Source organism: Homo sapiens, chromosome 4 (assembly GCF_000001405.40).
Source record: "Homo sapiens chromosome 4, GRCh38.p14 Primary Assembly".
Lineage (NCBI taxonomy): Eukaryota > Metazoa > Chordata > Mammalia > Primates > Hominidae > Homo > Homo sapiens.
Window position 1 is genome coordinate 131,505,119 of NC_000004.12, and position 23,837 is coordinate 131,528,955.

The 23,837-nt window shown below is 31.2% G+C and overlaps 1 long non-coding RNA gene across 33 annotated transcripts in view; it reads left to right on the forward strand.

The window, feature by feature from the left end:
* Positions 1 to 23,837, forward strand: part of LINC02377 (long intergenic non-protein coding RNA 2377) — a 338,568-nt gene that overhangs the window by 125,362 nt on the left and 189,369 nt on the right. For 10 of the 33 annotated variants that reach the window (NR_183919.1, NR_183917.1, NR_183927.1 and 7 more), the window contains one exon: positions 22,112 to 22,170. The exons of 7 other annotated variants lie outside the window; for them this stretch is intronic. This is a non-coding gene — a long non-coding RNA (long intergenic non-protein coding RNA 2377). Of the gene's footprint in view, positions 1 to 17,801; positions 17,891 to 22,111; positions 23,126 to 23,837 lie in introns of those variants that run through there. 16 more of the 33 variants (NR_183945.1, NR_183952.1, NR_183940.1 and 13 more) reach the window with 5 other exon arrangements.

Genomic DNA, 23,837 nt, shown 5'->3' on the forward strand with positions numbered 1-23,837 from the left:
GTCCTATGACTTTATTTAAAATTAACCAAATGGAAAAAGATACTAGGATATTCTGTCTTTAAAATAAAAATAGCTTGCCTATTTTTACTGACATTAACCAATATATTACTACATTTTTATTCTGAAAAATATTATAAACTCTGTAAAGATAAAAACATATTTAATATTTGTATTTACTATTATGGAACTGTGATAACAAATATAGTTTTATAGCACAAAAGTCATTGCCAGGAATTCATGTTAACAACTTGGAAGAGATTTTTTTTTTCACTCAAAATTCTGAAGTCTCTAAAGAATGACCTTCTGTAAGCCATTTAATTCGTAACAAAGTCCCTGAATAGCAACAAAATCACAAATCATAATAATAAATACAATAAAGCAGTTTTATGTAAGTGCACAAACCTGATAATCTATGCTGATAGGTTAGAAAATAATTACTTGCTTCCCTAAAGAAAGGCAGCTGTAAATTATTCAGGGTTACTCCAGCACTGATGGAAATATTTCCTTTGTTTTGTATTTGTAGCTTAAATAATTCCCTATCAAGAATTAGAAAGTCTTATTATTTCTGTACAGTTATGAATAGACTGGTTATCCTTTAGTTTTCACATCCATATTTATTTTCTTTTAAGGATCTTTTTTATTCTGAATGTTTCTTTTCTTGTTTCCTTAACTTATATTACTTATACACCCCGTTAAGCCTTTCCTTGAATAAAAAGACCAATTTTTGAATAGTGAAAGAATTGGTTGCTTGAGTGTTAGGGAGGCATAAGTATATACATATATGTATGTATATATGCATTATATATACACACACACACATATGTACCTATCTTCCACATCTATGTATCTATGTATCTATTATCTATCTATCTACCTATCTACCTATCTAGCTAGCATCTATCTGTCTAATCTATCATCTATCTGAATTGATGAATATATCCTGGGTTTAATTCAGCTTTATTTTTCATGTACCTGCTGTATCCCATCACTCTGATAGACCTTTTCATATTTCTGTTATCTTATTTATTGTTCCCAGTGTGCGAGTGATCAATTATTATCTCCATGAACTAGTGTGTGTGTGTTTGTGTGTATGTTTGTATGTGTAATGTTTGTGGATTTTTTTTCTATAATGCTACTTGGTTCTTTAGTCTCATGGATACTTATGATAATAAAAGCCAATATTTATTTAGCACTTATTCTATGCCCTCAAAGATTTAAATATTTTATACACATTTTCTCACTTATGCATTTCAACATTGCTCTGAAGTAGATAATATTTATTGTAATTTATAAATCAGAATGTTATTATAAAACTCAAAGTAATAATTAGCTTTTATATTCTTCCGGTTTATGTTCATCTTTATGTCCTGCTACATAAATCCTTTTGTATTGAAAAAAATATTTGACAAATGATAAGAAACAATGATGTCATAAAACCCTGAGTTTGAGTATTGATCTGTTAATTATTAATTCCATGAACATGAAGAAGTGATGATTCTGTCAGAAATTTACTCTACATATCCATGTAATAGGGATAACAACACATACCTTGCAGGTTTGGTTTGAGGACAAATAAAAATGCATGTAAAGCCTATAGCATTCTGTGTAGCAGACTTTAACCATGAATATTACTAGGTAGCAAGGTTATCACTGAGGTAAGCAGAGTTGAATTTTTTTTTTAATTTGTATAAGTTGGAGGCAGATGGAGTCTGGCCACATGAATTGTTTTCTCATTACTCTAAATGGCAGATTGCTTAACTGTCATATGAACATGATAATATCACCTACCCCATATTATTTTAAGAGTTATTTGAGAACACTTAGAGCATCAGGCACATAAGTATTCAATATCTATTAGTTATATGTTCATTAATTATTATTTTTTAATATTTTTTGTTAAGAAACATACTTATTTTGATATATTTAATGCTAGAACTTCTATCTGATAATGTATATACAGTGTTTATTTTTATATTTTCCTAAATGGCAAATGAACATTCAAATCTTTCTGTTTGATCTGTCAGAACATGGTTCTGTTAGTTGGCATTTTCTTTCAAATTTCGCTTGGACTACCTGAATTACATTACTTGTTTCATTCTTTATAATCTAATCAATTCTTTTATTTAATTCTTGTATTGTGACTTGTCAACCCAACTAAGACATAGATAATATGATTAGAGAATCAAAAGAAACCTGATTAACTCCCTCATTTTACCTATGTGTAAACTGAATACATATGTATAGAATAAATGTGTTGCAAAAACTTGTATTGTCAATGAATTATTGAGTTAGATCGAATTCTTGACAGCTCCGTTAGCCAAACAAGATCATTTGCACTGATATTTAAATTAATATAATAATATTACTGAACATCAGTAAAAAGTCCTATAAGTGATAAAATATATAAACTGTTTTGGGACCATTATTTTCTGGCAGTTATTTCTTATATTAACAGATTTACTAGTAAATTGCAACAAAAAATCACTACCTAAAGACAATACCTTTGAGGCTAACGAAGTAAAAAAATGTATTTTTTGTACATTTCAGAAATGTCATGATTTCAGTATCAGCACAGTAATATAATTTTACTGTGTTCTGTCACACCAAAGGGTTTCAAAGGAGATAATGCATGAAGAAACGACATTTTACTTCAGAGTGATAATTATCAGCTATATTCCAGAACAGACAGATCACTGCAAAGCAATAATAGTACCTATTATGATTCAAGAAAACTTTTATGTGAAGTTATTCATATTTGAAGAGTGATTGTATTGATGACAATGATAAAATAATAGCACTTAGTAATAATAGCATGTTCCATTTTTTATTTTCTCCTGAAAGATCCTAAGGTTACATATTAAAAAGTATCTATTTGTGCAATCATGGAAGGCAAGTAAAATATCAAATTATTTTCAGAAAAAGGAAACGGAATCCTTTTAACAGCAAGCCAGTGTGATTTGAAAAATGAAACACAAAATTTGATAGTAATATACAGGAATGACATAGTGAAATTATAAAATTGCATTAAAATGCATACCACAATTTAAATGTAATAACATAAAAACATGTCTAAGAATATGGTCATTAAGAATTCAGGTGATAAACATATACATTTTGACATGTTGAATGTATAAATGTCAATTCTTACGTAATTTTGTATGGTTTAGATTATGTGTGAATATAAAGAAAATAATGTTAAAGTGTATATACAAAACAAGTTCCCTGGAATAAAAAAAAAACATGATCATTAATGGGAATTTATCTTACAGTATATAAGAATGACTTATAAAGCTATTCTGATTACATCAGTAAAGTACTGACATAGGAATAGACAAAAACACAATTAAAACAAAATATCTGAGGCCAGTTAAAAATATAATTCAAACTGAAACTGTAATACATTTGCTTTACAGGATTTTTATTGTCTTCCCTCTATATCTCTACTTTCCTTTTTATGCAACCAATAGTCCACAGTCATTCACTGTGCTTAAATTTTGTATAAGTTTTTAATCCAGGAATTCTCATCCTTGGCAATTTGGGTCAAATAATTGTTGTGAGAGGGAATGTCTTGTTTTCGTTTAGCAGGATCTCTGGCTTCCATAACTAGATATCTATAGCACACCTCACTTACCAGTGTAATGAATAAACATGTTTCCAGACATTGCCAAATGTCACTAGACCTGGTGAGGGAATCATCCCTTATTGAAAACCACTGTCTTATTCCATTATTCAAAATAATGTATTTCATACTGGTTCAAAAAAGTGTCAAATAAATATTTGTTAAAGATGTATCTGATAAAGAGTTTATCTTCCTGGTGTTTAAATATATTCAAATGAATCAAGAAAAGACAAATAGCCAATTGAGTAAAAAAAACATGAACAGATAAATCACTAACAAGAAAAATCCCAAATATTAATACACATAGGAAAAATAACTTCAGTGATAGGTATAAAATGAAAATAAAAAACAATAATATATATTCTTGTTGATCACTTAAATCTAAAAATATTAGGACAATTAGATTCTATTAGGACCACTGCCAATGATAGGAGGTATAGACAAGCTATCATACGTCATTGTTGGTGTTTGCCAAAGATTTTTGGAAAATGATTTTAAGCAATACTACACATAGAAATCTGTCATACAGAAATATTCTCATACTATGTAAAGATATATTGAATGATTTCAAATGCAGGCAGAAAAATGTAAACCACTTGGATGTCCATATATATGGAAATGAATGTACCAAAGTTTTTTAGAGAACTCAAATCTATTTCTTGGTGATAAATTGCTCCAATCACCTTCATCTTTATGTAGGACATCATAGATATTTTCACCTACACTCAACTCTGCCAAGATCAGGGTTCTAAAGCCCTTGGCTCCCACGGTGCTTCTCATAAAGAGAATGTAGCAGAGACTTGTCATTTCCACGAATTCTTCATATAAGACTTTAATTATTCCCTTTTCTAAAGGCTAAATGTTGCCTTTCCTCTTCAGTGCTTTGCAATAGGGCTCTTGGTTACCATTCTTTTAGGATGAGGATGTTGAAGAAATTTAAAACTTGTTTGGCTCCTAGCAACCCAGAAAAATTACATTCCTTGTCAATGACGTCTAAGTTTCATAGTTTTCAGCAATGAATAGAGCCAAACTTACATATGGTACACAGTAAATCCAGCAATTAGGCAATATGGTCTTTTGTCAGCCAATTGGATAAGAAAATGGGATTGATGTCAAGATACATCTCTGTTCATTAAGTTCTGACGATTATAAGATGTTTGTGAAAATAAATATTCAGGCTGATAGGTTTTGTTAGTCTGGCTACCTTCCATAGTAATCAATATTTTGATAGTAGACAAAAAATTGAGATTAGTTCCTGAGGAGTATCTTGATAAATGTTTCTTAAGCATTATTTTTTTATCTATACTTTGTCAATGTATTTTCTTAGTGTTATTAATTCTGTTATTTCTCTATCAATGAGTTGTTATATTATTTTCCTTCTCCCTAGATAGTCATTAAATAGATATTATAAATGAGGGAGCAATTGAAGCAAATAGTCTTATTTAATTTTTTAATGGATGTAGTAGCGTTTCTTTCTATTTCCTGTCTATTGGATTATCCATAATGATACTAGAGCTATTTTGCTGCTGTAGAATCTGTCATTTTATGAAAAGAAGAAAAATAATATTCCTATAATTCTCTCTACCTTCTGCAACCTCCGTGTACACTTTATCATACAAAGGCTATTTCTATTATATTCCTCTTGTATTTACTTTACTTGTAACATCTTCCTTTAAGTTATCTTTTGTACTATGGTCAGCCCAATTTGCCTAAATCATTTGTGTGATTGGGATACATTCTTATTTGGAACACATAGAATACTTCATAGAAGAAAAGTTGATATTTTTAGTCCTGTCTTTAAATGACTCTGTAGATTGGCTCCAGTTTACGTTTTCAGATTAATTGATTTAGTCAATTCATTCAACACATATTTTCTGGTGCTCACAGACATTGATCTTAATTCTATCGAAGTAAGGAGCCGACATTCCTTGAATAGGAATTACAGTTTTGTATAACTATAGGTGGAATATGTCTAGAATACTACTCGTTGTTTTCCTTGCTTAATTTACTATAAAAACCACCTCAAAGATTACTGTCTCTTAATTATTTTCTGATTACCTTAATTTCAGAACATCTCTCCCACCTCCAGACTTTTATAGCAGTCCCCTAGTACCAATTTTATGGCTTGTACTACTTTGCATTTTAATAATTGATATTTATGTCTTAGCTTTCTAGTGTTAGCTACTGATAATCAAGAAGGGTGTTATACATCTGTTTCATATATATCAGATATTCATGAAGCATTTGTTCAAAGAATTAATGAAAAAACCCTTCCTCTTGGTTGATGAAAGCCTAGTCTTTATTACGACTGAGAAGGAAAAACATTGTTTCCTTGGTTTTATATTCCAGTTTTCTGTCATATCTACTTTATTCAGAGTAGCTTTAATAACTTTTATCTTGTTCCATATTTTCCCCTTATATCTTTGAAAAAAGATGTTTCATTATGTTATAATAAGAAACCATAATCATGATGTCTAATATTGTGATGGATTAAGAAGTTTGTATAAGTACTAATAAACAGTTTCTACCACTTTGGTATTCCCTTATGTATTGGGTAAATTTTATTGCATATTGTGTTGAATGCATTATGTATTGAGTGCCTTTGCTTAGAGGGTTTTTTTAATTAATGACTCTTTTTTTCTTCTGTGAAACAGTAGAAAAGTTTATTTTAAAATAAAAAAAAACTTTTTTTTAACTTTTTAACTCAGGTGAAAATTTCTTAAATATATGTGTATGTGGATGTTTATATTACAAATAATTAAGAAGCATGAACTGACATATCTTTATTAGTTTTGAAAAATGCTAAAATAAGATAGACTACTACCATGTAAGGACTAGAACTAAACTAAAGCAAAATTAAATTTTCATGTTACCAAAAACATAATCCCTTAACCTATATGTAAAATTAGATACACCCTTCCTATCAACTAGAAGCAAGGTGTGGAGAAACATTACGACCTGAAAGGAATTCGAGCTTCTTTTAGACATAGTATGTTAAAAATCATAAAGAAGATAAAGAATTATCTGACTTAGTGAAAGCTTGGAGTTTGTTATGTGATGCCTGATAGCATCACAAACAGAAAGGAAGTTTCTAGTTCAAATGAGCAGTTTCGATTTTAAAAATGCTTAAGGCTCAAAAACTCCATATATTCCTGAAATATTTTGCAATGTTATGCTACGTCCTTATAATGATCTTAATTTTAAAAATATCAAAAGAATCAGCATTGCCTACCCTCCCTGGTTAGACTTATTGGCAGTGGCATCAACTTGTCTTCTAATAAGCAAGTTGTTCTCATGATCCCATGTTTTGGCTACAATTACGTGAGTGAGCTTTTCTAAGTACTACAGCAGGCTAACTTTAACTCCTGGCCAATTTTATCAGAAACTCTGGAATAAGTCACAAACATCATCATCATCATTATTTACTTGAATGATTATAATATAGTTGTCAAGGTTGTAGAGCCAAATGACAAATATTCTGAAATAGTGAGACAAATTATTCTTAATCATAAATAGTAAAATATTGTCAGATGGATTTTTACATTTTGCTATTGTTAGTAACCAATAGATTCCCCCTAATGTCAAGTGTCAGTATATAAAACACTCTTCAAATCAAATAAATTCTACATATCAAGTAGAGAAAAATTTTACATATCAAGTAGTGATCAAGAAACATTATAAAATAGCAGAAACTATAGTTTTTCAACAGGTAGTTTTAATTCATGAGTGAGGAAATTCAGACTGATTTCTGGATGTTGCATATTTAATCATGACATCAGCATGGAAGGACATATTAACCCAAAACAAATTTTATTCAGTGCTTAAATAATACATACACACACACACACACACACACACACACACACACACCCTCAAACTCTCTTCTATCTGAGGCTAAGGCTGTGTGTATTAGAAAACCTCCTTTGTATCACAAGCTTAAGTGCATGTATAGAGACTGAAAAGTAAAAAATAAAAGGCAAACTAAGACCAAATAAGGACATAATAACAAAGCATGAAAACAAAACAAACAAAAAACTAGTCAATGTGACAGTGTTATTTTAGATAGAGTGATCAGGTAAGATATTTTTGAATAGTTGTAACCTAAATGATGAGCAGTAATAGTCACTTCAAGCTCTGGGAGAAGTGCTGCCCCAGAAAAAATTTGGCGAAGTCTCTAGCACAAAAATTTGATGTTTTTAAACAATGGAAATAAAGTAAATGTGAGAGGAGAAGAGTAAGACATGGTAAGATCAAACAGTGAAGCAGCAGCCAGTAGAGAAATGGTTTCTCAAACAACTCTATTTTCATACGTATTCTACTTGTAAGGCAGAAAAAATAAATTTGTTACATACTAGAAAGTGACCTCAGACCTCTGTCTTTTAAATGTATATCAATGAGGGTTTTCTTAATCCAATGAAAGTTGTACCAGGAGATAATTATTTTTTCTAGTATTAACTGTTTCCATATAATTCCATATACTTTTCATTATAAATCCATAAACTCATGATTATAAACTGCATTTGAAGACTGTATCTGGTTTTTTGTTTAGTTTACACACAGCTGAATTACATCTTACAAAAAGAATTAAGTACTTGGCAAAATTTAAAATTAGAAGATTCCATATAAATGTATATAGTTTTATTACTTAAATAAAAAGGGGACTATCTGGTGATATGATTAGGCTTTGTGTCCTCACCCAAATATCATCTTGAATTGTAATCCCCATAATCCCCACATGTCAAGAGAGAGACGAGGTGGAGCTAATTGAATCATGGGGTGCAGTGTCGTCCATGCTGTTCTCGTGGTAGTGAGTGAGCTCTCACGAGATTTGATGGTTTTATAAGGAGCTCTTTCCCCTTTGCTCAGCACTTCTCCTTCCTGCCACCTTATGAAGAAGGTGCCTTGCTTCTCCTTTGCATTCTGCAATGATTATAAGTTTCCTGAGGCCTCCCCAGCGATGCTAAACTGTGAATCAATTAAACCTCTTTCCTTTAGAAATTACCCAGTCTCAGGTAGTTCTTTATAGCAGCGTGAAAATGAACTAGTACATCTGGTGACACGGAATCCTTATTTCTTCATTTCTATAAAAACTAAACAAGAAACAGTTTTTGGAACTAAATAGCTGGAATCCCATTGAGCTGGCATTTCAATTTTCCAATTTACCACACTTTTTCATTATTCATGTATATGTATATCCTTCCTGGCTGTTATTGGCACTGATTTTCAGATGCTTTTTTGAAAAATGCCATGAGAAAGACCAGATAACAATATCCCTGAAAAAATATTTAAACTGAAATCATATATATCAAAGAAGCAATCTCAAATAGGCAGATAGATTACTATCATATTTTGCTTAAGCAGTGTACTTTCTTTTCAAGAAGAAGGTTTTGTTCACAGAATTCTATTTTGCATTGTTCCATTTTTGCTTTAGTGCTATTGTAGGTAATATTGCTAGGTACTAATGAGCTTGTCACTATAACTGAATTCAATCAGTCTTTTTATCCCTTGTTCTAAGATTCTATTGTGAAAATCTAGTAAGTTGTGTGATGTCATAGGTGTAACACTTTGTGCAAGTAATAGCCAGGATTTTTCAACACAGGCCATCCATTTCATTAACTATATGGGACAGATAATATAAATAAGGAAGGAAGAATCTTTCTACCATTTTCTCTCTGAACTGGCGTACAACACACTAGACCATGTGTACAGAGTTTCTAGCAGCTAAAATGATTGTGTAACTACGTATTAAAATGATTATCATTCTTGCTGGGAGTGAAATCATTTTTCTTCAGGATAACAGAGATATTTACTGTTGTAAACTTTACTCAGATATAAAACCTTAGGCCCACAGAATCAATTAATTTGCAAAAGAACAAATGTATTTAAAAAGTAGAGACAGGATTTGGATACAAGTGCTTTCTGCTATATCACCCTGTTTGCCAAAAAAGAGCCTCTCCCCCTGAGATCTTATCACTCTTCAAATAGTGATTTCTGTTTCTGTCAGAACAGGCCACATTAAGGAGCTATATCAAACACATCTAAATTTCAGTGGCTTATGATGAATATTTGTTCTCATTTACTGTATATGTCTATAGTGATTTGGCTATGGTTTTATTATTTATTGTGTTTTTCTGAAGGACCCAAGTCAATGCAACAATCTCTCTTTAGAACATTTCTTCTGTTATCAAGGCAGAGCAGAAAGAAAAGAATTCCACCATAAACTGGCTCTTCAGATTTATGTTCAGAAGTGATAAATGAATGTCACATGTCACTGGCCAAAGCAAGTCACTTGATGATGCCTGAGATGAATGATTGGTATGCATTATCATCTCACAGGGAGTGGTGCTGAATATTTTGGAAAACATATATTTTGCCAGACAACCATTAATTTAATTATAACCCCACAAATATTCACCTAAAGATTACATACATTAATGGAGAATAATTGAATCAATGGACATCACATAATGAAATCTGAGAAGACTTTTAGAGTTAGGTCAAAACTTCAGAGTGTAATCAGAACTTAAATATGTAAGTCTTACCAAGTTTGGGGAGAATTCTGACACTAGGAATCTTGATGACCCGGGCATAAAAAGAGAAGAAAAAAAAAAACGCTTGAACATTAAAATGCCTAAAACTTTTAAAATAAGCTTTAAAAATGTTGAGTAAATAACAAAATAGTTTAATGATATAAAATGTATGGGTGCCTCAGGGAAAAATTGGAAAGCAATGTAGTGGGCATATTGCAAAGTTCTTTGGATGCCAACATTTTAGAGAGAACACAAATAAAAAGCTGTTATTCATTAACAAAAGCATCAACACTATCAACATCTACTCTCAAGATGTGTGTTTTTAATATTTAAAAGTGAAAACTTCTTAGTCCTGCAGTTTAGACACAAAGGAAAGTCATTGAACTCAAGTCTCTATGAATGTTCTCTTTTCCAAATGAGATTTTCTATTGCTAATCATTTTGAATGCCTGCCAGAACACTTGGACTCTCGATCGGCAGGACAACACAGATGTCTATGTGCCATTTAACAGCTTTCAGGTGAAATAACTTACCAGGCAAAAAATAGAATTGACATCCAGCATACTGATGAAAAATAATGGACTTTTTATTCATCAAGCAAATAACATTAGAAGCAAGCAGCTTAAAAAAAATTTGCTTGAATATATTACCATGTATCTTGTTAGAAAATTGTAAACTTCCTTTTGAGAAAATTTAGCATTGTTTCTTTCCCTAATCAAAGATGAATTTTTCTAGATTTAGAATGTTTCATGGATTTTATGAGGGATTTCCTGTATTTTGTGCTTTAATCTTTTTTATGACACTTGGAAACCTTGTTTTCATTTTTTTCATTGTGTTTAATAAAACTTAACAGCAAGCAAAGAATCACATTTGAATATCACTGTTGATTGCATTAAAAAAGACAGCATATTCATTTCATCACTCTTTGCACATGTGTAGAGTTCCTCTGTACCAGGTGGGCATAATTAGGTTGGAATGTGGTTTGGCTGACAAATTATTTCCTATTGGCTGCATGATGTGTCTGCTGCATCCCCATGGAAAAGAAAATAAATGGCAATATTATTGAGAAGCTTTTGGAAAATATTTGATAGGCAACCATGGTTAGGTTTATGCAAATATAGCTTTAAAATTCCAACATTCTGAAGCCATATAATCAAGGAGAGCAAAGATTGTTTTAATGAGAAAACTTTCTAAAGTCAGCCAATAAAATTCCATTAAAATAAAAAGATTTGATAAATTTAATCTTGATAGTTGATTTACACAATTGATCTTTTTCATGGCAAGTTTGTATATCATTTACAAAGGAAAGCAGTTACATGTGACATAGTTGATATAAATATTCCATATTAACCCAGCAAATGACCCATTTATTTTATTTACAATGGAAGCAAGAAACATTTGTTTCAACAATGTCTCATGCTATCAAGAAGATGACAAGCCATTAAAAAATTTTATTCAAAAGAATATTAAAGAAAAGAAGCAATACAAAACAAGATATATATATACAAAAAAATATAAAACTCAATGGAAATAAATTTTGGAACTACAAGTGAATTGTTGCTGTGCACACAACCAGAGAATAAAATGAAATGTAAGGTCTATTTCCAAATACTAGCATACACTTAAGCTTATTGAGATGTATTTAGGAAAAGAGTTTTTTCTGCCAGTTTGGTTCCTAGTGAGCTCTTAATAATAATTGTGACTTAAATTTAAGTGGAATGTTGGACTGACTGTAAAGGTTCCCTTTGCTCAAAAATTTTGATGGGTTTTAGAAATGTAAAATATTATAATTCTATGAGTCATTATTAAAGTCAAATCAATATTTTCTTGGTTATATTTTTACTGAAAGTTTTGTATAATATTTTATGTAAGGTAACTTTATAAGCTATACTTATAGCAGGTTAAAAGAAATGAAAAGCAGTGCTAAAAATGTAAAGACATATTACTTAAGTGCCTATATAAGGAATATTCCACATAGCTGTGTTTTATAATATCTTAGTCATGAAATTAATAAATGTCTCTTTTGTTTCATAATATTACTTCTAATTTTTCAAAAGCATGGAGACTGTGGAAAGTGTGATTTTCTAGAAATGGTGAAAATTAATCTTAAATAGTTAATTATAATATATGATGGCAAGTTAGTGCACAAACTGGTTTCCAAACTTAAATCAAATATTTTTCTGGAGTTCTGTAAATTTCAATCCATTTTAGTCATAGATTTTACAACGATAATAACTTTTATATCTTGCCTTACTTTCATACCTATTAAGGGATCTCTTATTTATAGCAAGATCAATGCAATGCAATTGATACTGGTCTTCATTTTGAATTCCTTCCAAATAAGGCCTGAAACCAGGGCTTGGGTGCAGGTAATTCTTTTGGTTGATGATGCCAGGAAGCAGAAGTGAGAAATTAGACAAGAGAAACAGGGCTTAGGGAAAACCAGTAAAGAATATATTGATGAGTGAGTTATTGCTAGAGGTAAATAGACCTGAATCCTGCTAAGAAACTTCTAAAAAGAAACTTCAGTATCATCTCACATAAGGACCCCATGACATTTACTTCCTTCTCACAATGCTATACTCCATCTGCCCACCAGTCTACTGCATTGAGGTGGACCAAGCTTCAGTGGAGACAAAATCTTCAGGCAGAGGAATCAAAAAAGGAGCTTACAGAGTTAGTTAGACATAGACAGCATCTGCTGGAATACACATTGAAGGGACTCGTAAGAATAGTTTAAAGCACTGTTGTTATAAAAGAAAATTTGGTATCATTGTCAGAAAAAAAGAAAAAGAGTGGTTTTCTGCATCTCATGAAAACTATATACATACACATTTATATAATTAATACATTTTAAAATCTAACACCAAACATCTAATTTGTTTCAGAGACCTATAAAATTTACTTTCTCAATATTTCTTGAGTTATTTTCTCTCTCAGCCTTTGACAGCCGCTGAAATTTAGTTTTCTTCATTTTTCATTAGAAAAATTAGAATATCATGTTTACTGCTTGACATTTTCTCCTGCTACCAGTTTTACCTCTCATAACATCATTATGCATTATTCTCTCAAATATTTTTAAAAATATAACTATGAAGATGAAACTTTCCAGATTTAAAACTCTCTTTGGTTCTCCATTCTTCTGAAGATGGCATCACATACATAATTCTTTATTATGTGGCCCATACCTGCTTTTTCAACATATTTATTTTTTTACCACTATGTTTTCATATCTTATTTCAACAGCAAATGTTATTTACTGAATATTGACTTATTTTATATTCAGTTATCTATAAAATTAATATATTTATGCCTTTTCATATGAGATGACTTCTCATATAATATACATTTTTGTGGTAATTTTTTCTCTTTCTTCCTCTCCTTCCTTACCTCTCCTCTCTCTCTCTATTTGTTTTTTAATTTTTGTGGGTAGATATTAGGTGTATATATTTATGGGGTATATGAAATGTTTTGATATAGACATGCAATGTGAAATAAGCACATCTTGAAGAATGGGTATTCGTCCCCTCAAGCATTTATCCATTGAGTTGCAAACAATCCAATTACAACCTTTAAGTTATTTTAAAATGTACAGTTAAGTTGTTATTGACTATAGTCACCCTGTTGTGCTATCAAATAGTTGGTCTTATTCATTCTTCTATTTTTTGTACCCATTAATCATCTCTACCACCCCTCCAGACCCCACTACCCTTCCCAGCCTCTAGTAATCATCCTTCTACCCTCTATGTCCATGAGTTCAATTGTTTCAATTATTAGATCACACAAATAAATGAGAACATGTAATGTTTGTCTTTCTGACTTATTTCACTTAACATGATGACCTCCAGTTCCATCCATGTTGTTGTAAATGACAGGATCACATTATTTTTTAAAGCTGAATAATATACCCTTGTGTATAAATACTACATTGTCTATATCCATTCATTGATGGACACTTAGGTTGCTTCCAAATCTTAGCTATTGTAAACAGTGCTGCAACAAACATAGGAGTGCAGAAATGTCTTTGATATAATGATTTCCTTTATTTTGGGTATATACCCAGCAGTGAGATTGCTGGATCATATGGTAACTCAATTTTTAGTTTTTTGAGGAACCTCCAAAGGGTTCACCATAGTCGTTGTACTAATTTGCATTCCCACCAACAAGGTACTGGGGTTCCCTTTTCTCTACATCCTCATCAGCATTTGTTATTGCCTGTCTTTTGAATGTAAGCTATTTTAACTGGGGTGAGATCATATCTCATTGTAGTTTTGATTTTCATTTCTCTGATGATCAGCAATGCTGAGCACCTTTTTATATGCCTGTTTACCATTTGTATGTCTTCTTTTGAGAAATGTCTCATCAATTCTTGTGCCCATTTCTTTGATTGTTAGATCTTTACCCATAAAGTTGTTTGAGCCTTATATAATCTGGTTATTAATCACTTGTCAGATGAGTAGTTTGGAAATATTTTCTCCCATTCTGTGGGTTGTCTTCACTTTGTTGATTGTATCCTTTACTGTGCGAAAGCTTTTTAGCTTGATGTGATCCCATTTGTCCATGTTTGCTTTGCTCACTTGTACTTGTGCGGTATTGCTCTAGAAATCTTTGCCCAGACCAGTATCTTGGAGAGCTTCTCCAATGTTTTCCTGCAGTACTTTCATAGTTTGAAAGCTTAGACTTAAGTCTTTAATCCATTTTGTTTTAATTTTTGTATATGATGAGAGATAGGGTTCAGTTTAATTCTTCCACATATGGATATCCATTTTTCCCAGCACCATTTGAGGAAGAGACTCTCTTTTCTCCAGTGTATGTTCTTGGCAATTTTTGTCAAAAATGAGTTCACTATAGGTATGTGGATTTGTTTCTGCATTTTCTATTGTGTTATATTGATTTATGTGTCTGTGTTTATGCCAGTAGCATGCTGTTTTTGTTACTATAGTTCTGTAGTATAATTTGAAGTCAGGTAATGTGATTCCTTATTTTGTTCTTTTTAGTTAGGATAGCTTTGGCTATCATGGGTCTTTTGTGGTTGCATATACATTTGGGATTTTTTTTTCTACTTCTGTGAAAAATATCATTGGTATTTTGATAGGGATTGCATTGAATCTGTAGATTGCTTTCAGTAGTTTGGACAGTTTAACAATACTGATTCTTCCAATCAATGGACATGGAAGATTTTTTGTTGTCCTCTTCAATATTTTTCGTCAGTGTTTTATAGTTTTTATTGTAGAAATCTTTCATTTGTTTGGTTAATTTTTAGATATATAATATTATATATGGTTATTATAAAGGGGATTTTTTAATTTCTTTTTCACAATGTTCACTGTTAGAATATAGAAATGCTACTGGTTTTTGTATGTTGATTTTGTATTCTGCAACTTTACTGAATTTATCAGTTCTCAGTTTTCTTGTGAAGTCTTCAGTTTTTCCAAATTAAGATGATAATATCTGCAAACAAGGAAAATCTGACTTATTCCTTTCCAATTAGGATAGACTTTATATCTTTCGCTTGTCTGATTGCTCTAGGTAGGACTTCAGTACTATGTTGAATAACAGTGGCGACAGTGGGCATCCTTGTTGTGTTCCAGATCTTAGAGGAAAAACTTTCAGTTTTTCCCTATTCAGTATGAAACTAGCTGTGGGTCTGCCATATATGGCTTTTATTATGTTGAGGTATGTTCCTTCTATGCCAATTTTCTGAGGGCTTTTATCATGAAGGGATGTTAAATTTTATCAACTGCTTTTTTGACATCAGTTGAAATGATCATATGATTTTTATCCTTCATTCTGTTGATATATCACATTGATTGGATTTGCATATCTCAAACCATCCTTGTATCCCAGGGATAAATTCCACTTTGTCATGACAAATTATCTTTCCAATGTATTGTTGAATTTGGTTTGCTAGTATTTTCTTGAGGATTTTGGCATCAATATTCATCAGAGTTACTGGCCTGCAGTTTTATTTATTTATTTACTTTTTGGATGTGTCTTTGTCTGGTTTTAGTATCAGGATAGTAGTGGCCGTGTAGAGTGAGTTTGGAAATATTCCCTCCTCTTTTATTTTTAAGACTAGTTTGAGTTGTATTGGTATTAATTCTTCTTCAAAAGTTTGGTAGAGTTCAGTAGTAAAGCCATCAGGTCCCAGGCTCTTCTATACTGGCAGACTTTTTATTACAGCTTCAATCCTGTTATGTGTTATTGTTCTGTTCAGATTTTGGATTTCTACCTGGTTCAATGTTGATAGGTGGTGTGTATCTAGGAATTTGTCTATTCTTCCAGATTTTCCAATTTATTGGTATACAGTTGCTCATAGTAGCCACTAATGATATTTTGAATTTCTGCAGTTCAGTTGTAAAGTGTCATTTTTTCATTTCTGATTTTATTTATTTGGATTTTCTCTTTTTTTCTAAGTTAGTATGGCTAAAGATTTGTCAATTTTGTTTAACTTTAAAAACAAAACAACTTTTTCTTTCACTGATCTTTTGTATTGTTTTAATTTCAGTTTGTTTATTTCTGCTCCAATCTTTATTATTTCTTTTATTCTACTAAGTTTGGGCTTGGTTTACTCTTGCTTTTCTAGAACTTTAAGATGCATTATTAGATTGTTTTTTAAAGCTTTTTCTCTTTTTTGATGTAGGCACTTATAGATATAAACTTTCCTCTCAGTGTTGCTTTTGCTGTATACCATACATTTTGGTATATTGTGTTTCCATTTTCATTTGTTTCAAGAAAATTTTCAATTTCCTTCTTAATGTCTTCATTGACCCAATGGTCATTCAGGAGCATATTGTTTAATTTTCATGTATTAGTTAGTATAGTTTCCAAAATTCCTCTTGCTATTTTTTCTAGTTTTATTCCATTGTGTTCATAGAAGAGGTTTAAAACTATTTTAGTTTTTTTTATATGTTTTAAGACTTGTTTTGTGACTCAACATATGGTCTATCCTTGAGAATAATCTATGTGCTAAGGAAAAGAATGTGTATTCTGCAGCTCTTGGATGATATGTTCTGTAAATATCTGTTAGGTCCATGTAGTCTATAGTGCAGATTAAGTCCAATGTTTATTGATTTTCTGTCTGGAAGATCTGTCCAATGATGAAAGTGGGGTGTTGAGGTCTACAGCTACTATTGTATTGAGTCCTGTCTCTCTCTTGAGCTCTAATAATATTTCCTTATTATTGTTTGGGTGCTCCAGTGATGGTTGCACATATATCTAAAATTGTTATATTATTTTGTAAATTTACCCCCTTTATCATTATTTAGTAACCTTCTTTGTCTCTTCTTATGGAAAATCCCATCTTCAGATGTGGGGCATGTGGGACCCAGCATGAACTCCCTCTCTGAAACATTTCCATCATGTATACCCCAGGCAGTTCACTATCCTAGTTTCAGGGCCCACAAGTCTTAGGGGGTGTCTCTCTCTCATGACTAGAATTGCAGGAGTCTGCAGTGGGAATGTGGACTACCAGGCTCTCTCACATATCTTTTCTCTTTGCTAGGGAGCTTTGGGGCTAGCTACCTCACTTTCCCTCTTTAATGCCTGAGGTCTTTTCTGTCACTTCTCTGCTGAATTCTAGTGTTCCTTCCTGAAACTCTATTTGAAGTATAATTATCAACTCACTATTTTTGTTTTTTCTTTGTGGAGCAGATGAATGCCAGATGCCTCTAGTGAGCCACCTTGAATCACTATTCTGAATACATCTTGAGTAAAAAGAGAAAATTGCTCATGTTTCCATGGTATGAGCCTTGTTTGTTCATTGTATCAGATACAAATATATAATTTTCATGCAGTATAAAAAACCTTTATATATTATTATGATCTGTAAAATAATTAATTTCATCAGATTACTGATATTATTTGATCTTGTTTCTTTGTCTTCAGTTATCTGCCACTATTTTCATATTATATAACATTTAAAAGTGTGATAATTCTTGATAATTCAGGTGATAATTCAGGTGATAATTCTTGATAATTCTTGATAAGACTTGATAATTCAGGTTTCATGAGTTTGAATCCTGCCTTCTTGGTTTATTAGATATGTGATTATTAGAAATTTATAAACTTTATCAACATTAATATTATTATATCTAAAATGAAAATCAAAATAATACAAATTCTATTATGAGTTTTGGGGATAATTATTTGACCCAGAAAGTGATATGACTAGCATAATAAACAACTAATGTTACTATTATTGTTTATATTCCATATGTATTATAATCTGAAGGTCCTGCTCTTTGTTAATGCTTTTCTTTGAGCTCCTACCAAAAACAAAATTCAATCATCTCCCCGAAAATAAATTATTGAGCAATTTGCAAAGTCATAAAGACATCAGTGGTCTTATATCCAAAAATTGTGGCAGCAATTGAATACATTGAGTGGCAATTTTGTAGACAACTTAAAAAGGTTCAACAATATAAATGAACACAGTATTTCCCTGCTGACCCAAATTGTATTAGTACTCTATCCTTGTTGATAATCTCCTTAAGGATGTGTCTGATATTCAATGCTGCTAAATGGAATACCTTAAAGTAAAAATACAAGTGTAAAACCTCTATACTAAGATAGACAGTTGAAGATATTATAATGGGATTCTCCAGTCAACAATTTTGACAACCCTGAGGCTGGACCTTACTCTTAGGTTTACCTCCCAGAGATTATCAATGCATTCTTGACCAGAGACAACACATCCAAAGGCAGATTTAAACATATATACTTCTTAAACTTCACTATTTTCTCTACTATGCAGAATTTAATAAGGTTATACAGCTTTGTCTCTGAGTCTGAGCAGTGTAAGAGGGAAACAATCAATGGGGTCTAGGGAATATATACAGTTGGCCCTCTGTATTTGTGGGTCCCACATCCGCAGATTCAACCAACAACAGATGAGAAATATTTACAAATAAAAATAATTTTAAAATACAACAACAAAAAAACAAATTTTAAAAGAAAGTGTAACAACAAGTTCAATAGCATTTACATTGTATTAGGAATTCTAAGTAATCTAGAAATGATTTGAAGTACAGTTGGCCCCCTATATCTGTATTCCGTATCCATGTATTCAACCAACTACAGATTGAAAATATTGGGGGAAAACAATAAAACTAACAATAAAACAATAAAAATAATACAGATAAAAATACAGTATAACCACTATTTAAATAACATTTGCACTGTATTAAGTAATATAAGTAATCTAGAGATGATTTAAAGTATACTGGAGAGTGTGTGTTTGTTATATGTAAGTACTACTCCATTTTATAAAAGGTACTTGAGCATCCCTGAGTATCCTTGTGTGGGGGAAAGCCTGAAACCAATTTCCCATGGTTTTTGAAAGATAACAGTATTTTTAGATCTGCCGTTGTATGTGTTGTAATTGGGTCTTTTGTGCTTTTTAGCCTTACAGCTTCTGTTTTTAAGCCTAAATGTACATATAGTGATTAAAATAATTAATGCTATATAAGTTAGAGAGTTTAAAAATCTAAATATTTTATTTGTTTTTTAATCTGCAACATAAACCTCACCTGAGTTATTCAGAAACATAAATGAATACATTTGACAACATCTCTTCTAATTGTATCTCTTCAATACTTCAAATATTTCATCACAAATGTTTTTTATTCTATACAATTTGTCATATGCTAATTTTCTAAAACTATTAAGAATGCTATCATAACTATAAACAAAATGAATAAAATTATTGAAACGAGTAATTTTTTATGAATAATTAGAAAAAACTTTGAAATAAATACTGTCGATATCTTATGGAAAGCAAAAATCTATTTTAAAGACACAACACAGTCTCAGAAATTCTTTATTCTCTACACATTCATGTGCTGCAGGAAACATTCTCTTTATACTTTCTGTTCTATGAGAGGATCAGTAAGGCTCAAAGGTCATTGCCCTTGATTCCATAATTTATTTTTCATATTATCAGAAGTCAAAGATACATTAAAAAAGTGTTTTACTTACTTAATTGAGTGGTGCAAAACAGATTTATTTCACATTGGTAATTTTAATGTACCACTCTTAGAGAGTCACATTTTTCATATAGAGATACTTTCATGCAAATATTTTAAGCATAAGAGTAGCAAGTTTTATTTAAAAAAATACACTATCTCTATATGTAGATATTTCCAAAGTCTGATAACAAGTGGTACATATCAAGAGAAATTTCAACAAAATATATAAAATTATGCTAATAACCAGTAGAAGTTTATATTATGACATCAGTGAGCATAATACTTTTATACTGAGGGAGATAGTTAAAATTAACACATAAAAAGTATCATTTTCTGAATGTCAAAAAACAATTGCAATCAAATAAATATTATACAAAACAATTTTATAAAAATGTAACATGTAACCTTGCTTAAAAGTATAGCATTTACCTAATTAACCTAGTCTAAAAATACAGTATTTCTTACAAATAAATACATTTTCTTTATAAGTTTCCTTATGTGTGTCTTTATGTTGTTTTCTTGATAAGGTGCAATGGCTAAAAACATTAACTACATTATAAGTATTTTAAAAAGGCATTTTAATAGAAAACACTATTTTCAGTTTAGGAATATTCATGACATATAATCATTTTATATTTTTAAATACTACATATTTTATCTTTACAGGAATTTTTATATTATCTTCTTTATTAATACATAATGTTTGTGTATATTTATGAGGTACATATGGTATTTTGTTACATACATAGAGTGTGTAATGATCAACTCAGGATATCTAGGATATCTGTCACCTTGAACACTTAGCATTTCTACATATTGAGAACATTTCAGGTGCTCTCCTAGCTATTTTGAAATATACAATACCTTGTTGTCAACTATAGTCACCCTACTGTGTTATTGAACATTAGAACTTAATTCTGTTATCTAACTCTGTTTGTACCCATTACATCAATCTTTCTTCATTCACCTCCACTAACACACACATACCCACACCCTTCCCAGACCCTAGTAACTATCATTCTACTCTCTACTCCAGTGATATCCAATCTTTTGGCACCCCTGGGCCACAATGGAAGAAAAAGAATTGTCTTGGGCCAAACATAAAATACACTACTGATAGCAGATGAGCTAAGAAAAAAAAATCACAAGAAACCTTATAACGTTTTGAGAAAGTTTACAAATTTGTCTAGGGCCGCATTCAAAGCCATCCTGGGCTGCCTGAAGCCTGCGGGCCCCATGCAGCCTTCGGGACCCAGGTTAGAGAAGCTTGCTCTGCTCCAGGTATCAACATTGTTTAGCTTCCACATCTGAATAAGAACATGCAATATTTGCCTTTGTGTGCCTGGGTTATTTCACTTAACATAACAACCTCTAGTTTCATGCATGTTGCTGCAAATGACATGTTTTCATTATTTCTATATCCAAATAGTATTCAATTGTATATACATATATCATATTTCTTTATCATTTTGTCCATTGATAACTATTTCAAATAGTATTTAATTATATATACATATACCATATTTCCTTTATCATTTTGTCCATTGGTAACTACATCAATTCCACTAACCCTTTGCTATAATTTTGATGACTGCATAAGTCAAACATTAAAGAACTGGAGGAATGTGCGTGGGAGTACAAGGGCTGCAATGTAAAAACAAATCCATTAAGACCCCACCTGGGTTTTCTCAGACCTTAAAGTCTGACCAAATAATACAAGCTTTCTTAGACATGCACTTTGTACCAGGGCCCACTTAAAATTAAGAAACTTTCTAAGACTCTAGAGAAAGCTTTCCAGACCCCAGATCCCAGTTAAAGATTAGATATAGATTGAATGAAACACTCCTGCTTGTAGGTGCACTCCCACTTGTAGACTTCATGTCTAAAATGTATACAAGCACTAGAACAAAAACTTGTAAATTTTAATTGGTCTGATGAGTTACTCCAACCTTCTAGCTGTAATCAGTTGCTGAAATAAACTCCCTTCTTTTCCAGTCTATCTGAATCATGTTATTGGACCATGAGAGCAAGCAGCTGGATCTCATTCTGTCCAGGTACAAATATACTAAATTAACATAAGTAGCATATCATATGTGTCATATGTGTGCTGAATATGTTATATTTAATAACTAAAAAACCTTAAAACCTTACTTTTTTGGTACTTTTAAATACCAAGAATTAATTAATTAATTAATTAATTTAGCTTGTGTCCATTTCCTCTTACAAGTATATAGGAAACTTTTTACTCTCTGAATCTTTATAAAATTGCAAGTCTTGGTGAACAGTAATTGTCTTCTTGGATAATATTTATGCAAAGAGTGTTTGGAGACATCTATATTCTGGATAAAACTAATTATTTAATACAGTACTTTTTTTAAAGGACATGCTATTTTAACTTCACTTCAGCAAAGTTTATCTGTAGGCACTTATATATGCACTTAAAACAAAATTTAAATAAATGAGCATGATTTTTTTCCTTACTTTAAGTGGACTGGCATCTTTCCCATATGTTTTGCATGTAACAACATTCCCAAAAAGTTAAGTGCATCTAGGATACACCTTATTTAATAACCTTAGCACCAGCTGCTCATATTCACTGCCAGAAATCATGCTTTTTTGTACACAGCCTAAAGGCAAAAAAAAATAAAAAGTGATTTAGAAGCTGCTACTAGGCTGAAAGGTAAATCAGTGTTCCACATAATTCAAAACTTACTTTTTATAAAAAAGCAAATAAAAGCACAAAAGTAATTTTAGCTGAATATTTAAAAAGTAATTCTATATGGTATGACACTTACTACAACAGAAACTTTTGCTTACTTTCATAGGACTCCTGGAAACAGCAGCTCTAACAAAATTGTCTTCAATAAATAAGTTTTTTTGCATCACATTTGTGTATGTCCTGAATGTTCTGAGCCCTTCAGATTTGACTCATATTCATGCTAAAAGAAAAAATGCAAATGAAAATTGTATAGCTAATTATGAGAAAAATAAAGCATCATAAGAAAACCAGTAAACTATATTTTTAACAAACGAAAATGTAGAACATACTTACCTATACTTTTAGTTTAAGGGGAATATTCTTTCATTATATAGGTTTATGAAATACAATATTAAGAATGGTAAAGATTATTATTTTACTGACTTTAACTACAAAAATGCCTTTGAGAAAATGTTTTCTTCCCTGGATCTTGACCTAATTGGATAATTTTATGTGAGCTAATATTTCCGGTCTGATAAGACTTTCAAGGGAGCCAATTATGTGCTTTTATCCCATCAATATTGCAGTATTACAGGTTTTTCTGTGGCCTTTTGTACCATTTTTTTGTTGCTGTTGTAAATATTAAGTTTTGCTCTTTGGGAGAAAACATTTCTTCCTTGACTGTTATTGCTGCTGATAGCTAGAAAGGATTACCAGTAGAACCCCTGCTTTAAAGAAAAAGAAAAAGATTGGGCTATAAATGATTGTTTTTTATTTCAAAATCCATCAAACTGAGTTTAACTAACACTAGAGCATTGCAGATAGCTTACTACAGAAATAGTTTTTTTTAATTTCTTATCACAAATAAAAACGTCTTCAAATCATTACTATAAGTGTTAAATAGAGATGCTAGTTGATAAGGAAACCACTACTAAGCTTGCTCTGGTTTGTATGGTAGTGTGTCTGATGAAAACAGAACAAATAACTATCTGAGAAAATTCTGTCTTCAGGATAATTCTCAGG